Here is a 21,921-nt window from a genome sequence, read left to right as displayed (position 1 = left end):
CTCCCACACACAGCCAATTGTCTAGATATAGAAGGTGCTCAACGAATGACACTGATCGGAGAGAAACAATGAAAGAATGAGGACAGGAGAGAGACAGAGAGAAGAAAGGAACCATGTAATTTTAGCAGAAGTTTTGCACGTTGAAATTCCTTCATCACTACGATATCTTGCATTTGTGGCAATTTTGTAATCTGTGGTAGGAAAGCATCCTCTATTGCATCCACAGTATAGTTCTTCTTGCTTTTCTGTTGTGCCTTCTGCAGCTTCCAGGGCATTGCTTCTACTCTGCTTTTTTTTTTTTTTTTTTCTATGATACATCTCTTGTCCAACATCTGTACGGGTTGCCCTGAATTTTTTTTTTCCACTGCTAGGATGGTCACATCCAAAAAAACCAATAGTACCAACTTGCCTCAGCATGTTCTATTTTCACACATGCTAACCATAGAGCAACATAAAGGAGGATAGAATATTTTTGTCAATCAATAGAAATGAAAACCAAAGTACAAACAGTTAAGTGACTACCTTAAATTCACTTACCTGCACATGGCAAAACTGATACAGGGCTAAGGAGTTTCTAACTTCTGACATCATGCTTTTCCCACTAGGACCTTCCCAGCCTTGGTTGCACATTGTAGTCACCTGGGGAGCTTTAAAAACTACTACTGCCTGGTCCTACTCCCAGAGATCCTGATGTAATTGGTCTTGGGTGTGCCATCTATATTGAAAGTTTTACAAGCTCCTCAGGTGGTTCTCATGAGCAGTCAAGACTGAGAACCACTGCATTAGAGTCAGATGATACTGCTTCTTGCATCTAAATGTGTTTTGGAGACACTTGCCCTTATTGCTGGCTTAACGACTCAAAGAATAAAAGTCTCCTAGGGTGAAGCAAACATCCCCATCATGCTTCAGGCTGTTTGGTCTGTCTTGATGACAGCAAACAAACATCAGGAAGCCTAGGCTCAGTATTAAAGAGTACACTGGTCTGGAGGAATTCTTTTCCTCTAACATAAACATTTCCTTATGGGGATCATATTCTGTCATTAAGGCTCTGTTGCCCACAACCATATATATGTATTGGTTTGTTCTCTGCCAAACCTTTTACTTGCCATTCTATAGCAGTGGAGAGAGAACAGTGGATCCTTGGTACATTTTCCATACGATTGCCTATGCTTATGAACTAAAAATTATAATTATTTACAAATATGCTGCATGTACTTCCGAGTTTGAATTTAAATCTCATACATACAGAGATAAAAATTTGATGTCATATTACGGAGGCAGTAGAGTATCAGAGAAAGAGCAACAAATGTGGAGTGAGAAGATGTGGTTCCAGTCTCTGGACCACAGCCTACCGAATTAATTGAGAACACACTTATTGAGAACTTATTGTTCACTTATTGAGAACTCACTATATGCTGGGCACTGTTTTAAGTGCTTCAACCCTATAAAGTATGTGCTGTGATTATTCTTATTTTATGGATGAGAAAACTGGGACACAGAGAGGTTAAGAAACTTAACCAAAGTCACACAGCCAGTAAATGGCAGACCCAGGATGAAACTCTGGTAAATCTGACTCCAGGATGTACATTCTTTACCAACATATGATATTCTCCCTCACATGTGTAACCTTAGGTAAATTACTTAGCTTTTCTGTCTTAGTTTTCTCATCTTCAAACAAAGTAATAATAATAATAATGCCTGGCACGTAGGGTTGATATACCACCGTGCACGACATATATTAGGTGCTTAATAATGTTGGTTGAATAATTGAATAAAAGAATGATAGATTGAGATGGCTAAAAATATATAGGAGCATACTTCATAAACTGCATTATACAAGAATAAACTTACTATTATGATGATGCCAACGACTATGTATAGATTTGTGGCACAAGATAGGGAAAAGAGTTAATACCCCAAATCAAAATTTAACTACTTACCACTACTCATAAAAGATAAAGCTCTTAAAAATATGCACAAGAGTTTAATAATCTTTCTAATGCTAAGAATGTAACTGTAGAAAATGAAGTTATTAGAAGTTTCTCTTTTATTTCTGAGTTGTTGAAGAAGCATTCTATAATCTAAAAGCTTCATCTTTATTATTGCCAGGAAATTAGGCCATTAAAAAAAGATAGTGTTGGATCTCATCCAGCTGAACTATCAAAAGATAAAATGGCCAGCAGCACATGTAAAGTTTACATTTAATTTTTTTAAATTAAGTGCTGGTTATTATTCAAGGAAACTCTTGAAACATTCTTATAACAATTCCCTAGAAGAAGAAGAGGCAGGGTGATTGTGAAATCATGCACCAAGTGCTAGATTCAAAGTCTCAGAAATTCATCTGGGCTAGAGATAACAATGGCCAGTTATTACCTTTACAAACAGGGATGAATCACATACTAGGTTAGTGAAAGATGTAGAAACAACAAAATTAAACATTTTGGGGCCAAACTCTTTTTGAAGAAGAAACTGTGGTCAGTGGTGCCTTATTATTTCCTTCCATTTTTTAATTATTCTTTATTGCAAGACAATTATTCCCAAATCTCCTTAAGTTTTGGCACATGCTTCTATTTTTTTTTCCTCTAGCAGTTTGGAGTTTCCAAGTGGCCCTATATATTTACATGTTATTCTAGAAAGCACCCTCCTGTAACAATCTGTTTTTTGGTGGAAGGAGTTTGACTCTGAGTGGTTCCCTAGAGTGTGCCAATTAATGTCTCTCAACACAGTGTTTGTGTAATTAAGGGTTATTGCCCCTGCAGCCTATATGAGCTGCTCAGTGCCTCATACATAGTAGGTACACACAGCAGATGTGTTTGCTGAATTGACTAGGCAGCACTCAACAACAAATCTTTGACCTGAATTAACCATTCAGGTACTCTGGTATCAAAAATAATCAATATTTTATACTGATAGAGCTGCTAAAGATTGTATATCTTGATGTACCTTAAATTGTTTTGACCTATGAGTGAGGATGGTGATATATAATCACAAAATAATTAATAGCCAACCTCCTGAAAGAACATGTGATTTCTTAAAAGTTATTGATCTAATTTACCTTTTAAGGATATTTATTAAGCTTAGTACTATTTTTTGCCCTCATTTGTACCTTAAAACTTGATACTATTTTTCACTATAGGAAACTATCATAATGATGAGATGAAATATAAAGAGACTTCAAATTAAGGCAATGGTCATGGGGGTGTAGTAGAGTGGAAGCATTCATAATGTTGCAGCAGATAAAAATCAACAAGGCTTAATGAGAGAGATAAAGAGATGTAGGAAACATCTAAGATTCTGGCTTTGGTAAGAAAATGTAAAATTAGTGATCTACCACTAACCAAGAGAGGGAATAAAGGAAGAAAGATAGATTTGGGGGCAAGATGATGAATTCACTTTGAGATATCTTGAATATGAGATGCCTATAATACACATAGGTGAGATGTCCCCTGCACAGTTATAAATATGCATGGAAAATTCAGAAGAGGGATCTGGCTAGAGATGCAGCTTTAGGAATCGCTGGACTGTAAGCAAATGAAAACCATGGTAGTGGAAGAGGTCTTTCAGAGAGAGTAAGTAGAGAGGACTGAATGAAGAAGATATTGCCAAGGGAAGAGGCAGCAGTGTGCTTAGGAAGGGAGATGAAAAGCCATGGATGTATGGTATCATGTAAATCAAGGAGAGCACAGCTAATGGGAGTGCAAGTAAGAAGAGGACTAAAACGTAATCACTGCATCTGGGAATTCAGAAGTCTCTGCTACTGCAGAATGCACCATTTTAGAAGGATGGCTGAAGCAAAGTCGTATTTCAGTAAGTGTATGCAGACTGGACAACCTACTTTCATCCAGATAATGAAATAGTACTCTAAAGATCCAGTTAAATGGAACCGGAAAGTTGTCCAGCTCTCTCAATCTGTCTTTTTAGCTCCTGATGTATGATGGTAACAGATGATTTTTCCTTTTAGATTGATATAATTGAACAGCCCTATGTTCTTATGTTTTCTTGTTGAATTTCTACCTAATATTTCTTGTGGCTTAGAGGAGAAATAAAAAGGTTCTCTCTGGTGTGAAAGCTTTTCTCTGGGGTAAAGGAAGTAAAGTAAACCTCATAAGATTGGGAACTTTTCTGTTATTCCTCCAATTGACTATCTTTCTTTCTGGCTTTTAATCAGACTTCAGTCCAGGGCTCTATACAAAAGAACTTTGTATTCTTCTTTGAGAGGCTGAGGCGGGAGGATTGCTTTAGGCCAGGAGTTCCAAACCAGCCTGGACAACATAGTGAGACCCCATCTCTAAAAAGTAAAAATAAGGCCGGGTGTGGTGGCTCACGCCTGTAATCCCAGCACTTTGGGAGGCTGAGGCAGGCGGATCACGAGGTCAGGAGATCAAGACCATCCTGGCTAACACACTGAAACCCCGTCTCTATTAAAAATACAAAAAATTAGCTGGGCGTGGTGGCAGACACCTGTAGTCCCAGCTACTCGAGAGGCTGAGGCAGGAGAATGGCGTGAACCTGGGAGGCGGAGCTTGTAGTGAGCTGAGATTGCGTCACTGCACTCCAGCCTGGGCAACAGAGCCAGACTCCATCTCGAAAAAAAAAAAAAGTAAAAATAAAAAATTAGCCATGCATAGTGGCTTTTGCCTATAATCCTAGCTACTCAGGAGGCTGAAGCAGGAAGATCGCTTGAGTTCAGGAGTTTGAGGCTGCAGTTAGCTATTATTGTGCCACTGCACTCCAGCCTGGATGACAGAGTTAGACTCTGTCTCCAAGACAAAAAGTTAAAATTATTTTTTTTTGAAAAAAAGAACTAAAGTAATAGTTGTTGAATGAATAGTATATAGAGCCTACAGAGAAGTTTATCACTCTTACATAGCAGATGTGTGTCAATTAGTCTTTGAAACCAAGATAAATGTTAACAGATTAACATATACCAAAAGGACATAGGATAAGGATAGTTCACCTTACATGGAGTTCTGTAGTATTCTGTGGCTTTTGATGTAGCTATTCTGGACCATGTCTGGTAGTAATCACTAAATGAGGTTGTTTTAATTGGTCTGAAAATATAAATAAAAATCAGACGATGGGCAGTTTGTAAATTTTCTTTTTAAAATTATTGTACTGCTATATGGACTGTTCACATAATATCTTGTCACAAGATATTAAACTGACTTGCAAATTGTAACATGCATTTTTAACAATTGTATCCAATATACTGATTCCACCAATAATGAATACAAATAACGAAAAAGAAAATGTTCAAATCATATTTCAATGATAAATGTAAATATGGACCCACATGTATATTATAAAAAGAAAAATACAGGTTTAAGACATCTGCCTTTCATGACTAACATTAAAAAAGAACTCTAAGCAAAGCGTTATACCTGTCAATTTCTCATTCTATAAGAAACAATAAACATTTTTCTTGAACTTCAATGCCAAATTCTAGTAAAAAACCCTTATTTCTTATAATGGGGACAGAATACAAGTATTAGAATTGAGATTAGTTTAGTTTTTACAGAGAATCTGGCTATTTTCAAAGAGGGGAAAAACAGCTCTTTTCTAATACTCCTGGGTGCTACTTTCCCCTCCCTGTGCTAATATTAGTATGTCCTAATGGAGAGCAAAGATTGTTATAAGGTGTTAAATGAAAACTATAAAGCAGTCCCTTAAATAACTGCATTTCCAGGCATTTTTCCACAAACTTGCAGAGATTCTCAACACTCTATAAACAAAACATTACTTAAGCATATTTTTTCAGACATGTGAAATCACTAATTAACTGGCTTAAACAGCTGCTTAGACATCCAGTGCAATATGCCTTATGCCTGTTTTCCAATTGAAGTTCTTAGCTCTTTAGAAGAAGAAGCAAGTTTTCAGTCAGAACAAGTATATTAGCATTAGTTTTTAAAGGTAAATCATAGGTACCTTAAATTAAGTATTTGACTCAACTTTTAAATTAATGAGGCATTATCTAAATGTGTTAATTCATTCATTTATTTAAATAACAATTATGCACACCTAAGACTAACATTTTTCGAAAGTGTTGTTACTTTTACAATCACACTTAAGTAGAAATTTGAAACTTGAGGAAGATAAATTAATCATTACTATTATTGCTTCCAGAGCCGCATGCTGTGCTGTAGATGACTAAATGATATACTAAACTAACATGAATTTGCCAATGAAATGTCTCAGCATTTGGCAACAGAGGTAACAAAATGAAAGGCTGCATTATATCTCCTGCATGAAAAAGCTTGTGATCAATTTGCTGTCACAGATCATTTAGCAGACAACAATGACTCAAGAGGAAGGAAACTGTCAACACACTGTCTCGTGAAAAAAAATACACCATCTTCAGGCACAATCGTCTCCATTGTTTTTTGTCTGTTTGACCACGACCCATGACCTTTTCCCTTCCCAGGGTGTCCTGTTCAATTTCAAACTGTTAGCCTTCAGGGGCTTTCTGTTTTTTCCTCCATAATAATTAAAAATATTACCCTAAAAGGTATAACTTTAGTGTGGTTTGAATATACAAAGCAAAATGTCTTACACATTTGGGAGTATCTGAATTTTCAATTCTATAAAGGAAACAGCCCCTTAAAAAAAGAGAACTGTAACTATATTTTACTATTATTCAGATAAAGTAAGCTTACAGGGATACATGCAGCATAAAAATACATGTGTTTATAGTTTCAACCAATGATGGGAATTTACTGAGTATTATCATTGACGTCATGAATACAAAAAAGTAGAAGACATAATTTTAAACTGAACATTAGAGTTTGTTATCCTGTTGGAAAAAATAAGATATATACCTGGACTAGTGAATTGAACAGCTTTATATATTAACGCGATAAAGTGTTATATGGTTTAACGGAGACATTTGGAGAATACAAGAACAGATACTTCTCTCCTCTGGCAGTGGCAATAAGCAAAGAAGTCGGAGGAGGGAGATGTAATTTTTTTTCAGTCGTCAGGGAAAGAGTCATTTGGGATACAGGTCTGGAAAAAAAAAATAAGGGGGCACTGTAGGCCAAGGGAAGAGTAATAGTAATTGCTCAGATGGGAGAGAGCATGGCGTGCACATATGTACACACAGAGGATGTTGGGGGAAGAAATTATAGAACAATTGACTAGAATGGAGACTTCATATTCACAGGAGTTGGAATTGATAAGTGAAACTGGGCAGTGCAGGGTCCTCAAATTTAGGCAGAGAACGGTTTAAAGTTGATTCCGTAATCTTGATCTTGATTTGTTGGGTAATAGACAGCCATCAGTAGTTCTCGAATAAGGCAAGTAAATTATGAAATCCATGTTGGAGCAAGACTTTTCCTTGAAAGTAATAAGCAGGGTGGAGTATAGAAGGGAGATTAAATGCCAGGGGACCAGATAGGAAACAAACGCAGTAATTCAGGGATTAACTACTGAGAGCTAATAGCAGAGTGGCAGCAAATGTTATGAAAGGGAGGAGATGAGTTGAAGGCAATGCTAAAAAATTGACTGGACTGGTTGGTTGCCTGATAGGGTGTGAAAAGTGAAGGAATATTACAGTCAAATATTCTTCTAAAGCCCAGAAATCTGGTTCGTTTTGCTGTTAATAGAAAGCATCAAGAGAAACTGAAGTAAAATACGAGTTTAATTTTAGATATAGATTTCAGGTGCTGTTAGTACAGACAAGTCAAAATGATCTTCAGGAGTGTGATTAAGACACTGAGATTAGAAATAAGAGATTTGGGTCAAATCAACAAAATCATTGATAGAGGAAGCTACTAGAGAAAACCACCTCCAAAAAAGTTAGTAAGTATTTTGAAAAGAAAGAGCAGAAACCAACTTGTAATTAAGAGGAGCCAATGAAAGAAAGAAAGGTTCATTAGGGGAAGAAGAAAATCATGGCAGTGCTATTTCAAGGAAGCAACATCCCAGCCACAACGAAAGCCTAACAATTAAACCCCTAAATATCTCTGGTTGGAACCTTCCTGTCCATCATGACCTAGTTGTTTAGTATCATGGATACTCAGGGTCTGGAATCAGCTGGCCTGGGTTAAAACCCTCCGGCACTTCTACTTGTTAAGTGTGTGGCTCTGGAGCAAGTTATCTAACCTCTCCAGGTCTGTTTCCCCATCTATAAAATCAGGAGATAAAACTTTCTCAAGTGGTTGTTTTGAGCACTCAGTGAAATCATGCATGAAAAGAGCCAAGTTTAGCGCCTCTTCAGCACTTAGGTGTCAGCTGGTCTCCATTGCCTTGATAAGTACCTCATCATTTCTCTCCTATTAACTCTAAACAGCTTCCTTGTAGTTTTTCTACCCCTAGCTCTCCCTATTCTAGGTTATCATACCTCTGCTTGAAAACCATATTTGGTACTGAGGCGAGAGGATCACCTGAGGTCAGGAGTTCGAGACCAGCCTGGCCAACATGGTGAAACCCCGTCTCTATTAAAAATACAAAAATTAGGCCAGGCGCAGTGGCTCACGCCTGCAATCTGAGCACTTTGGGAAGCTGAGGCGGGCAGATCATGAGGTCAGGAGATCGCGACCATCCTGGCCAACATGGTGAAACCCTGTCTCTACTAAAAATACAAAAATAAGCTGAGCATGATGGCGTGTGCCTGTAATCCCAGCTACTCAGGAGGCTGAGACAGGAAAATTGCTTGAACCAGGGAGTCAGAGGTTGCCGTGAGCTGAGATCGCGCCACTACAATCCAGCCTGGAGACAGAGCGAGATTCTGTACTCAAAAAAAAAAAAAAAAAAAAAAATTACCTGGGCAAGGTGGCACGTGCCTGTAATCCCAGCCACTCAGGAGGCTGAGGCAGGAGAATCGCTTGAACCCAGAGGCAGAGGTTGCAGTGAGCTGAGATTATACCACTGCACTCCAACCTGGGCGACAGAGCAAGACTCTGTCTTAAAAAAAAAAAAAAAAAAAAAGAGAGAGAGAGAGAAAGAAAAGAAAAAGAAAACCATATTTGGTTATGTAATTCTATATGAAAACATCTAAATACTTTCAAATAGAACTTGAAGCTCTTCACCATCTGGCCATTTCCATCCTTTTCTTCTGTTATCCATCCCCACATCCAGAGGCTCCATCACACAGAATTTCTTACTAATCCAAGCACACCATGGTATTACACTCCTCCTTCTGTGAAAGCTGTTCTAGAGACTCCTGTCTCCTCTGTGCCTGTCAAACTCTTACTCATCAAAGTTTGGGTCCAGTAAAAATATTTTGCTTATGAAGGTTGTCACAGTGGACATTGTGGTTGCCTCCTCAACAGCTCTTGCATTCTTCCCCCGTTATGTAGATACCATACACTCTGATGGGACTGACCACACCTCTGGCTCTAAATTAGAGCCTGATGGGTTCAGGGCTGTCTGACCATGGTGCCTAATTCAGGAACACGAATTTGACCTAAAAAGATCCAATTAGAGCAAAGTTATAGTCGTTTTCTAGTACATCTTAATATCTAGGGGTATCTATGCTGTAACTTTGTTCTTCAAAATTGCTTTCTCATTCTATGTCCTTTGTGCTTTTAGATATATATTTAGAGCTTGCTTACAAATTTCCAGAAAAAAAACAACTGCTAAGATTTTGATTGAGACTGAATTTAATCTACAGTTTAATTTGGGAAGAATTGACAATATAATAATATTGAGTTTTTCCCAAGCCACAAACATTGGATATTTCTACTTCTTTAAGTCTTTTAAATTTTCTCTCAGAAATATTTGTGGTTTTCAGTATACATGTCTTGTACATGTTTCATTACATTTTGATGCTGTTGTAAATGGTATTTTATTATCATTTTTTTTTTTGTGAGATGAAGTTTTGTTCTTGTTGCCTAGGCTGGAGTGCAATGGTGTGATCTTGGCTCACTGCAGCAACCTCTGCCTCCCAGGTTCAAGTGATTCTCCTGCCTCAGCCTCCCGAGTAGCTGGGACCACAGGCATGTGCCACCCATGCCCGGCTAATTTTGTATTTTTAGTAGAGACAGGGTTTCTGCATGTTGGTTAGGCTGGTCTCAAACTCCCGACCTCAGATGATCTGCCCACCTTGGCCTCCCAAAGTGGTGGGATTACAGGCATGAGCCATGGCGCCTGGCCGTAAGTGGTATTTTTAAAATTTCAATTTCTATCTGTTGATTATGAGTATATAGAAACATAGTTAATTTTTAATCTTAACTTTGATCTTATACCATGAGTCTTTGCTAAATTCACTAATTAATTTTCAAGTTTTTTTATATTCATTTGGATTTCACTATGCACATAATCATGTTATCTATGAATAAAGACAATTTGCTTCATCCTTTCCAAACCTTAAAATTTTTATTTATTTTCCTTGCCTCATTGCACTGGCTAGAACCTCCAGTACAATGTTGAATAGAAGTGGTGGTAGTAGACATACTTACCTTATTCCAAAACTCAGGAGAAAAGCATTAAACATTTCACATTTTAGTATGAGGTTGGCTGTTGGACTTTTGTAGATTCCTATTACTGAAATAAGGGAATTTCTGTTTCAGTTTGCTAAGAATTTTTATCATGAATGGGTGTTAAATTTTAACAAATACTTTTGCTGGATTCACTGAGATAATTTTACGGCTTTTCCCTTTATTTGGCTAGTAAATGTGTTAAACAAATTGATGTTTGAATATTAAACCAACCTTGCTTTCTTATAATCAGACCCATTTGGTCATTGTTATCCCAATGTGGATTCAATTCGGTAATATTTTGATTAGAGTTTATGCATCTATGCTAATAAAAGGTATTGACCTATAATTTCCTTTCGTGTAGTAATCTCAGATTTTAGAATCTGAGTTTGGAGGTTTGGAAATGTAGACATTTTCTCTACTCACTGAAAAGGTTTGAATACCTTTTTTTTTTTTTTAAGTTTTATTTTGAAACAACTTTAGAAATATAAGAGAGTTGTAAAGATAATTGAATATCTTTTTCTTCTTTTAAGAGATGGGTCTCAATATATTGCCCAGGCTGGTCTTGAAATCCTGGGCTCAAGCAATCCTTCCACCTTGGCCAAATAGCTGGGATTACAGGCCCAAGCCATCTCACCTGGCTTGAATAGCTTTTTAAAATAAATTTTATTGCAGCATAATTTACACTCAATAAAATGCACACGTTTTAAGTGTACAGATTGATGAGTTTTGATACAAAAGTGTACATCTGCATAAGCATTACCTCATACAAGATGTAGAGTATTTTCATTATTCCAGAAAGTTTCCTACTGCCCCTTCCCAGTCAATCTCCCTTGACATTCTGGGCAATCACCGATCGGATTAATCTGACAGATTAGTTTTGCCTGTCCTAGAACTTCATATAAATTGAATCACATAGTATGTACTCTTTTGTTACTGTGGTTTTTTTCACTCAACATAATGCCTGCATACTTATTCCCTATTGTTGCATGTATCAATAATTAATTCATTTTTATTTGCTGATAGTATTCTATATATTAATAAAGCACAATTTATTTATGCATTCAACTGTTGATGGACATTTTGGTTGTTTCTAGTTTGCGATATTATAAATAAAGCTGCTACGAACATTTGTGTACAACTCTTCCTGTGAACATATATTTTTCATTTCTTTTAGGTATATACTTAGGAGTAGAATTACTGGATTACAGGAAAGGTAATGTTTGACATTATAAGAAACTTAAACTGTTTCAAACTGGTTGTGGGCATGTAAAGTGATAAAACAAGATATGCAGCAATGTACGAAAGCTCCAATTACTCCATATCTTTACCAACAAATGGAATTATTCATCTTAATTTGAGTCAATGATGTCTTCTTTCAATCTTCTCCATCTCAGTAAATGACAGCAGAACCCACCCAGTTCAACCCCAAATCTAGTAATTACCCTTGGTCCCACTTTTTCTCACAACTCACATCGAATCAGTAATTCTCCTTCGGCGCAAGCCTTGAATCCACTCATTTCTCCTCCTCCATACCTATGCCCAAACCCTTGACCGAACCACCATTGTCTTGCCCCTGATCAACCAAAATAACCTAATAACTCTTCTCTTTGCTTCCACCTTAGATCCTTCACAAACTATTGCCCTCATGGCAGTTAAAAGTACTCCTTTTAAAAGTTAAATCTGATTCTGTCTCTCCTTTTCCTAAAAGCTGTTCAACAGTGTCCCAATTTCCTTACCTGGTATAATAAAATTAATCTAAATTCCTTACACGGTTTATAAAGTCCTAAGTGATTTGGCCCAGCCTACTTCTCTTACCTCCAGCTACCTCTCTTCTCTTTTCCCCCTTGCTGTGTTCTAGCAACAGCAGCCTTCTTACTGATTCTCTCACAGCATACAAATACTAAATTTAGGGTCTTCACATTACTCTCCCAATTTTTTACTCATTTTTCCTTTCAATTTCACAAATCTTGATTTTTCAAGATAATACCATTTACAAGTTTACTTCATAATGGTTCTCGAGTTATCTTTGACTAAAGTTATTATAATTACTTTCTATGTACTTAACTCATTTAATCTTCATAGTAATTCTATGAAATCAGTACCATTATTACTAGCATTTAATATATAAAGAAACTGAGACACAGAGAAATTAACTTTTCTTAGTCACATAGTAAATGGAAGAATTGGGATTCTCTCACTTGCTATTCTAGAAATGCCTTTCAGTTGTGTGTGTGTGTGTGTGTGTGTGTGTGTGTGTGATAATATCCTATACAGTATTTTATAAGGCACTCTTTTCATTTATTTTTTATTGTGGCAAAACACATAACTTTATCATCTTAACCATTTCTAAGTGTACAGTTCAGTAGTGTTAAGTGTAGTTACATTGCTGTGCAAGAGATCTCTAGAACTTTTTAATCTTGCAACACTGAATTTCTGTGTCCAACTTTTCACTTAATTTTTTTTTTTTTTTTGACACAGAGTCTCGCTCTGTTGCCCAGGCTGGAGTGCAATGGCGCAATCTCGGCTCACTGCAACCTCCACCTCCCGGGTTCAAGCGATTCTCCTGACTCAGCCTCCTGAGTAGCTGGGATTACAGGCACGCGCCACCATGCCCAACTAATTTTTGTATTTTTAGTAGAGACGGGGTTTCATCATGTTGACCAGGCTGGTTTTAAACTGCTGACCTCAGGTGATCCACCCGCCTCGGCCTCCCAGAGTGCTGGGATTACAGGCAAGAGCCACTGCACCCGGCCCGCTTACTTTTAATGTTAGCAACTATGTCTCCAGAATCATACCCAAAGGCTGCTTTTTGGACATTATTGCCTAAACCAATGTTTACTTAATCAGTTTTGTTGGACATTCTGTTTTCAATTTCTCATGATGTATAATTCTATGATGAACATTTTTGGAATCTCTATATATTTGTTTAAATATATCTATAAAGATAAATTTCTAGAAGTGGAAATGCTGTGTCAAAGGCATGCATTTGTCTTAGGATTTTTAATATGAAATGCAAAAGTTACACTCTTCTGTCTGTATCCCTCAAGTTTTGTCTCGTGCCTGCCCCTTTAAATGATTTAGCCACTCGCATACAGGTGTATATTTAGCATGTTCACCATCTATGTTTCATTTTCATCTCCTCTCATGATTACCGAGCAACCAATCCTCCCCTCCCTTTCCTCTTCTAGTTTTTATCTCAGCTCCTGATAATCTTATTTTGGTTGCCCCTGGCATTCATGATTCATTTTAACTTTTTATTTAGGTTGTCAAAATGCATTCCCCTGTGTCAGGCTGTTGGAAAGATGTCCTGCTGTAGCTCCATTCCTGTTGAATGTGCTGTTCCCTCTGCCTAGGATCCCCTGGCCCCATAGTCTATCAGTGAATCCCCATTCTGCCTCTAGAAGCCACTTTGGCATCACCTCCTATGAAAACTTGTCTTTATATGTTCGTCTCCCAATCCCTGCCAAGCCTGAGTAAGATGTTTCTCCCTCTGTGCTCCCCCAGCATCTTGATCTTACGTCTGTCATAGCACTTACTATATTATATTTATGTACTACAACAATAAACAGTCATGGCCCAATAAAATGCTGATTGCATTTAAAAGAGGCAGTTCCACTTAAAAGAGGCCCCAGAGATGGATGACTTAGTGAAAAACTGAAGGCCTCTGAAGGAAGCCTAGAAAAAATAAAAACCACAGGGGAAAGTTTCTGCTAAATATGACTCATTTTAGATATGATTCAATCTGCCCTCAGCATTCTTCCCTTAGCCACGATCTTGATACCTTCCCTGTGGTCTTCCAACTACATTCTCTGGTGGCAAATACTGTCTACATTGACCTAATGGATCGACAGGCCTACTTCTTGCACTGTCTCCCTTTCAGAAGAGGAACATCTTCTGATACTGTGCAACAATTAATACAAAATAAAACAAATAATTTGTATTTATGGAATGGGGAAAAAAGAAGAGGGCTTCCAATGCTAGAATATAAATCTCGTGAGGTTAGGGATGACATATTAATCAGGTGTGTATCCTCACACTGGGGCACAATGCCTGGTATACAACATATGCTCAGTGAATTCATTCTAAGTACGTGGATGACTACAGTACATTCTAAGTACATTCTAAGTACTAGCTGTTCTCCCAAGGGCTGAAAACCTGTCTGTAAGTGGTATCCTATAGACCACTGCAAACATCCCAGATGACTAGCACAAGTTCAAGTCACCTTCAATTCCTGAACATCAACTAGATTCCCCCAACTATACTGTACCCAGTTGAATAGACCTTGCCTAAGTTTTGCTATGTCTTTTAGAAACCGGGGGTCCAACTGCCTGGATATATCTTTGGAATACATTTCTACAGCCAGGCCAGTTCTTCCAGCTCATGAAGTAATGCAAAGTTCTAAGCATATGGCACTAGACACACAATATTAACAGCAGCATCTTTCTTTGAATAATTTCTGCAAGATCTTATTGTGAATGCATTATTTAAAAACTAAGAACTAGACATAACTGAGCTCTGTTTCAGAGCAACTGTACCAGGGGCTAACATTAGAATTCACAGACACACAACGAAGTGCAGCCTGATACACAGCATGAGTCTAGCGTATCATTGAAATCTAGACTGCATTGCCTCAAATAAGTATTACCTAAAGGCTTCTCTAGGAAGTTCAGGCTGGCACAAGGTGAATACCACAAATCAGACCTGATTCTAGCATCATTTATCCTTGGTTTGGCTCAGAGGACCTGCTGAAGCTGAGACCACAGAAGGTCTTCTGCTCTGTTCTTACTGCCTTATTAGTAAACACGGGCACTGTATCTTTATGAACTGCAAATAACTATACCATAAAGAGTAATAACTTTTGATATCTAAGGACATTCATGTTTTAGGTGATAAAACCACCTTTATGCATTGAATATTTATCATAGGCCTATTTTATGCCAGGATGGTCAACCACATTGACACATTTAAGGGGTGGCAATGTCCTCTATTGAATACCAACTTAGTGTACCATTAACTAGATTATGCTTACCTTTCTGCAATTTTTCAACATTTTTTCATGAAGATAAGCCACTTAAGTTTTTGTGTTTTTTTTTTTTTTTTTTGAGATGGAGTCTCTCTCTGTCGCCCAGGCTGGAGTGCAGTGGCACCATCTCGGCTTGGCTCACTGCAAGCTCTGCCTCCTGGGTTCACACCATTCTCCTGCCTCAGCCTCCCGAGTAGCTGGGACTACAGGTGGCTGTCACCACGCTCGGCTAATTTTTTTGTATTTTTTAGTAGAGACAGGTTTCACCATGTTAGCCAGGATGGTCTCGATCTTCTGACCTCCTGATCCACCCGCCTTGGCCTCCCAAAGTGCTGGGATTACAGGCGTGAGCCACTGCTCTCGGCCATAAGTTATCTAATTTTACTCAACTTTTATACAGAGCTAGTCAAGGAAATATGAGCTAAAGTAAACACTGTTACAACACTAGTTAATTGGCTGTTTTCTAAATCTGATTGACTATCAAGATAAAGCTGATGGAAATGCTCAAGAAATTAAATGCCGCCGAACCGTATGTGTGTTTCTAGGCCTATACCTTGTTCAGGTGTTCAAGATGAACTGATGCCACATTTACAGACTGTCTCCCAAAAGGTACAATGGCTTCAGCCCTAACTCTTACCATTTTTATCTAGACCTTATCTTCTCCTAAATTGCTTGAATTTTTGTGATCTATAATGATCTGTGCTGATTTTGTTGACAATACATTCTTCTCTTTTCAAAAATATAAAAAAGGCAAGATCGGCCGGGCACAGTGGCTCACGTCTGTAATCCCAGCACTTTGGGAGGCCGAGGCGGGTGGATCACCTGAGGTCAGGAGTTCAAGACTAGCCTGACCAACATGGTGAAACCCCATCTCTACTAAAAATACAAAAAATTAGCCGGGTGTGGTGGAAGGTGCCTATAATTGCAGCTACTTGGGAGGCTGAGGCAGGAGAATCGCTTGAACCGTGGAGGCTGAGGTTGTGGTGAGCTGAGATTGCGCCATTGCATTCCAGCCTGGGCGACAAGAGCAAAACTCCATCTCAGAAGAAAAAAGCGAGATCATGTAGTTACATTTAATTTTAATTCAACTAGAAAGAATTCAAAATTTTCCATGTTCTTTCTGAAAACAATATTTTAAAAAGATATTATAAGATGTTTCTAAATTAAAAACAAACATTTAATTATGATGAAAAACATAAAGAGTTTAAATAAATAGTCCTTTTGGTAAATAAATCGACATAAATTGTATAAAGAAAAACTTACCTGATACATTTACGTGGGTCTTTAGGTAACTCCTGGCTGTCATCTTTCACTATAAAGAAAAAATATGAAAGGATTCTGGTTTACTTGGAGATTGAATATATGGCTTTATGTGCACTATTTCCAAAGCCTCAATAAAATGGTAATAAAGGAATAAAAATAAGATATAAAATCTCAAGGAGAGCAAAAGAAAGATGACAAGAAAATTTTTCAAGATAGAAAGCAGATGTCAAGTGGTAACTGTCTTAGCAGGCCATAGAAATTTGAAAAAAAAAACTGCTTGATGAGAGGAGACCAACGAAAAGCAAATGGATTCGCACTTCAGAACCTGTGAAACAGTTCAGGAATTGAATGTGCCAGATACCTCTGGAAGGAGGGGTAAGAGGGAGAGCACAGACAAAAAACTTATACCCTCATCTTGTGCAATCACATGATGACCACTGCTCACGCAAGAAGGAAGATATTTAACCTCTGGAAAAACTGGGCCAGAGAGACTCAGGACTGGAGGACAGTAGAAACAAAACAGGATGGAGTAAGAAACTGAAAATGGAATAAATCATATCGAACAGACAAGATTCCTGATTCTCTCCCCTCGTCCAGCTGTCAGAGTATTAGCAGTGCTCTCTCTCTCTCTTGCTTGCACTTGCTCTCTCTCTCTCTCTCTCTCTCCACAAGCCTGGCAGATTCCTCTCAGGAGAAATAGTTAAGTCTAATGAAATGGCCAGGTTCTCACTGAATAATTCTACAATGAAATAAAACTGTCAACAAGCCCAGCCTGTATTCAGAACTTCCAGTCTTTTTAATAGTCCATTCATCATATGTCCATCATAAGAATGGATAGTCAAAGATCACTAGACATTTGAGCAAGGTCAATACCATAAAAGAGAACAATCCTAACCACAAAAAAAGAGAAAAATAGGAAACAGAAACATTTTTCTCAAAATCTTCCAGAATATACAACGAACAAAGAGATGGATAATAGGAGAAATTTGGTTTTAAAAAATTAGAGGATTGGCTGCACGCAGTGGCTCATGCCTGTAATCCCAGCACTTTGGGAGGCCAAGGCAGGCAGATTATGAGGTCAGGAGATCGAGACCATCCTGGTTAACATGGTGAAACCTCATCTCTACTAAAAAAATACAAAAAAATTAGCCAGGTGTGGTGGCGGGCGCCTGTAGTCCCAGCTACTTGGGAGGCTGAGGCAGGAGAATGGCGTGAACCCAGGAGGTGGAGCTTGCAGTGAGCCCAGATTGCCGCACCACTGCACTCCAGCCTGGCAGCCTGGGAGACAGAGTGAGACTCCGTCTAAAAAAAAAAAAAAAAATTAGAGGATCAGATCAATAGACCCAACATTCAAATCAGAGCAGATCTAGAAGAGTCAATAGGGAAAATGAAGAGAGAAGAAATTATAAAAGATATCACATAAGAAAGTTTTCCAGAACTGAATGATTAGAGATTGAGATTTCAATAGCTTATCAAATGTCCTATGTAATGTGGAGGCAGGGAAGGGGAGGATACACAAAGAAATATTATCAAAAATTTCAAATCACTGGGAATAAAAAGAAGGTTTAAAAAGCTTCCAGAAAAAAAAAGAATAAATCACATGTGAAAAATTGGACATCGGAATGAAATTAGACTTCTCAAGAGCAACACTAGAAACTAAAATGTAGTAAAGTATTTACGATTTGGAAAGAAAACTATTTCCAAACTAAAATTTAACCAAACTATGAGCATATGACAGTAACGTAATTACATTTTTAGGCATGCAAAGTTATAAAAGGTTTAGCTCCCAGGTACTAGGAAGCTCCTAGAAGATGTACTCCAACAAAACAAAGGAGCAAAACCAACCACAAGGAAAATGGGGATTGAGCAGCAAGCAGGAGCTCCAACCCAGCAGGCACCAAAAAGGCCATCCCAGCACACCTGCAAGAGAACTGCCAATTCAGAAATGGAGAGGAAGGATAGAGTGCCACAGGAAAGAGGGCTCCCAAAACAAAACAGACTCGATGCTGACTGAATACCTAGTAGCTGTTTTATAGCTTTGTCAGAAAGTTTAGAAGAAGAAAAGATAGTACACACATAAAAAACAAAGGAATGTAAAATCAGACCTTTTGTACAAGAAAAGAAAGATAATCATTTATGGTTTATCTGTGGCAAGTATTTATAAAGTCATATTAATGTAACCAAATCATATTAGGAGGATGGGGGAGAGGAAATGTGGGTAGCAATAGTAGTATAAAAGCAAAATCTTTGTATTTTATAAGATGAAGTCTATAAATAATATCTAAAACCGAAAAGCCTAGAAATATTAGTATAGAATCAACTTAGAAATGTGGTGGTAAATGCCAGAGGAAACAGCTAAATGTGTTGAAAGCTATTGTTGCCTCTGGCAGGCAGCACTCAGGGATAGAGGACATATTTCATTAAAAACTGATTCCTATTATTTGTCCTCTAAAACTATCAACATATATTTCTTTGATAGAAAATAAATATTTAACATTTCTCGTTAAAACTAGCAACTTAGAAACTTTGCCGAAAAGTTACTGGACTATCTGGTATAATGAAATACAAACAGGAAAAAAGAGGTACGTAACTCGAGCAAATAGATCCACACTCTACCCTGCTGTTAAACTCAGTTTTTTAGTATCTTATGACATTTTTAAGTAACAGAATATCTGTAACAAAACTGTAATCATCAACAACAAAACTGGTTCTGAATGATGGTGCTAAAAAAGCTCATGTTCTTGAACAAGTAAGCAATGCTACTGGACTAAATTTTGTGTTCCCCCGACACCCACAAAGTATATTTCTCAGGGGAAGGGGTATACTTACACCTAACCAAAGAAGTATACTCACTTTAAAAAGAAACGGCAACCTGGAATCCTATGAGACACCACCTGCTTCAATTGTAGAGACAATTTGCTTTAAAATTGCTCTATTATTAAAAGGATTTTTTTAAACCCAGTGAACAAACTGGGAACTTGAATTGGAGAAGAATCAAATGTCTGTCACAACATTTTCTTAATCACAAGCAGAATATGATGTATTTGTAGAATTATCAGGTTTTTAAAAAGTATATCACACAAATTAGTATTACAATCTCCCTAATATTTCTATATTCTCCTTTATTCTAGTATTATGACTCAATGTCAATTATAGCTTATTTAGATGAGCATCTGAAATGTATTAGATGATCCTCCTTTTTTATCAAAAACTATAGGAATATACTTGGCTAAGAAAAAATAATTACCTCAGGCTTAGCTACCATCACTCAGCTTTACTCTTTTTATACTCTTGTATTTTTCTTCAACCAAAGGTTTTAAAAATGACACAAAACTTACATTTTAAAAAATCAAAGCAACTATGACAAACAGAAGATAAATATTACTTGATAATATAACTACATAGAAATCAACATTCACAAGGATGAACTGAAAAAAGGGGCAGATAATTGCTCATATGAAACCTATGAAAGCTCATAACAAATTAGAAAGTAAGTAGCAATACTCAGAATCTATGAGGCAAACAGTTGTTATACATTGTCTCCAGACCTTCCTCCTCTGAGTTTTCATAAACTAGTTGAACAATAGGTTGGAAGGTATTGAAAAGGCCCCCTTATCCAATTCTTGGCGCCAGAGCTTTTTATCAAAGAAGCTCTTTGATAACATCTCTGAAAAATGGTCATTTAGCTCTATCAAATAAACACTAGATACAAAGAATACCTTTAGTAATAGAGAGTTTACTAACTGCCAGCCTGGCCTTGTCCATTCTTTTAAGCAACTTGAATTATTTCAAACAATTCTTCCTCATGTTTGGCCAACTGGGACCTGGATGGACTTTACCATTAAGAATGGCACAACTATAGAGTCATTTGCTTTTAGGAAAGATCAGCTGGGCACCCAACTGGCTAGATAATCGTTTGTTCAAACTGGTACACTGCAAGTGAAAGGAGGTACTGGGAATAATTATACCAGGACTTTCCCAGGCAGTCTGGGGTATGTGAGTCCTCTAAGAAAGGAAAAGGGGCCAGGCCACAAGGAAAGGAGGCTGTCAGGAAATGGGAAGGTCATCAGACCTCCACACTGGGTTTGAGCTTAGAGCTTGGTCTTCTTGTCAATACACTGAGGCAAAGACCTAGCTATTCAGGGTAGGCAAACATAACAAATGTTGGGGAAAAGTTTGGGTAATGAGCGACATTTACATGTCTGCATATCACATACCAGGCTTAGACTTAGGACAATAAAATTAATTCCAGACAACTGATCACGGAGTAAAGTCCCTGATACATTTAAGGTATGTACTGACACGAGGCAGGGCCAAGCCTGCGTATGTGAACTTCAGTTCTGCTACAACCCAGCAGGCCCGGGAAAGTATGACTGACGTGTAACTTCAGTGTTTGTCCTATGTTAGTTTTCTGAAGCAACCCAGAAGAAATCTTTTTCCATAGGAAATCCCTTCGAATATTTGAAAACAGCTTTTACAACTGCCCTTTATCTTTTCTTCTGTTGGCTAAATATATACAGTTTCTTCAGCCTTTAGAAATGTGAGGTTCCAAGTGGAGCCTACTGGTATTCCAGATGAAAGCCCACCAAGCCAGAGAAGGGTAAAATGAGTATATAACACATACTTAGAAGAAGGGAATTTTCTATTACTGCTTCACCTTAAGCTTGTGATCAAATAGCTCCCCCAAGAACTTTGTCGTAGAATAAAGTTCTATGGTACTGGAAAAGATGCTTGATCAACACCATTTGATTTGTATCAGACCCAAAAACCCTGTGGAGGAGGAGCAATTGAACTTGGTCACAATTATACAGACCTAGCTAATGGACTGGGAGTCCTGGAAGGGAAACAGAAAAAGAAGCAATGTAAATCTGAGAGAAAAAGTACTATAAGAAATCAAGGCCTGTTGATTGGGAAGGTAATGATACCAGCTACTATGCAAGGTTGCTGTGTGCTACCAGAAGAAGGTGGGGCAGGATATAAAGGAAATAACTATGTCAGTAGGAGCCCAGCTCTCAGCTGTGGGAAACCCTTCTGTGCACAAGAAGCCAGAAGCAGTGCTCTACTACCTGGAGAGAAAGAGAGAGAGAGCGCACAGGGGCAATGGAGGCAATGGAGTTAGGAGTCATAACGAGGCTGCTGGCAGGATACCAAGGGTATCAGGAAAACACTGCTCAGTGGAGCAGAAAGACTGAAGAGCTTCAGGCTCTATTTCCACAT

At 37.9% G+C, this 21,921-nt stretch overlaps 1 protein-coding gene across 14 annotated transcripts in view, besides 1 other annotated feature; it reads right to left on the bottom strand.

Moving 5' to 3' along the window:
- The window catches only part of UBE2U (ubiquitin conjugating enzyme E2 U), a 63,746-nt gene that overhangs the window by 29,757 nt on the left and 12,068 nt on the right, over window positions 1–21,921 (bottom strand). For 4 of the 14 annotated variants that reach the window (NM_001366232.2, NM_001366233.2, NM_152489.3 and 1 more), the window contains exons 6-7: window positions 16,705–16,753; window positions 4,963–5,051 (exon numbers count right to left, since the gene is read on the bottom strand). The exons of 1 other annotated variant lie outside the window; for it this stretch is intronic. In NM_001366232.2, the coding sequence (NP_001353161.1) occupies window positions 4,963–5,051; window positions 16,705–16,753 (138 nt within the window). Of the gene's footprint in view, window positions 1–4,957; window positions 5,052–10,397; window positions 10,483–16,704; window positions 16,754–19,557; window positions 19,602–21,921 lie in introns of all 14 variants that reach the window. 9 more of the 14 variants (XM_017000380.2, XM_017000381.2, XM_017000383.2 and 6 more) reach the window with 5 other exon arrangements.
- Window positions 6,212–6,506: an enhancer, noted in NCBI's record as "tiled region #11272; HepG2 Activating DNase matched - State 9:DNaseU". NCBI's record gives its function as "activates a minimal TATA promoter and a strong SV40 promoter by Sharpr-MPRA in HepG2 cells {active_cell/tissue: HepG2}" and the evidence as "EXISTENCE:reporter gene assay evidence [ECO:0000049][PMID:27701403]".

Source organism: Homo sapiens, chromosome 1, assembly GCF_000001405.40.
Source record: "Homo sapiens chromosome 1, GRCh38.p14 Primary Assembly".
NCBI lineage: Eukaryota > Metazoa > Chordata > Mammalia > Primates > Hominidae > Homo > Homo sapiens.
This window is presented reverse-complemented; position numbering and strand designations above follow the sequence as displayed.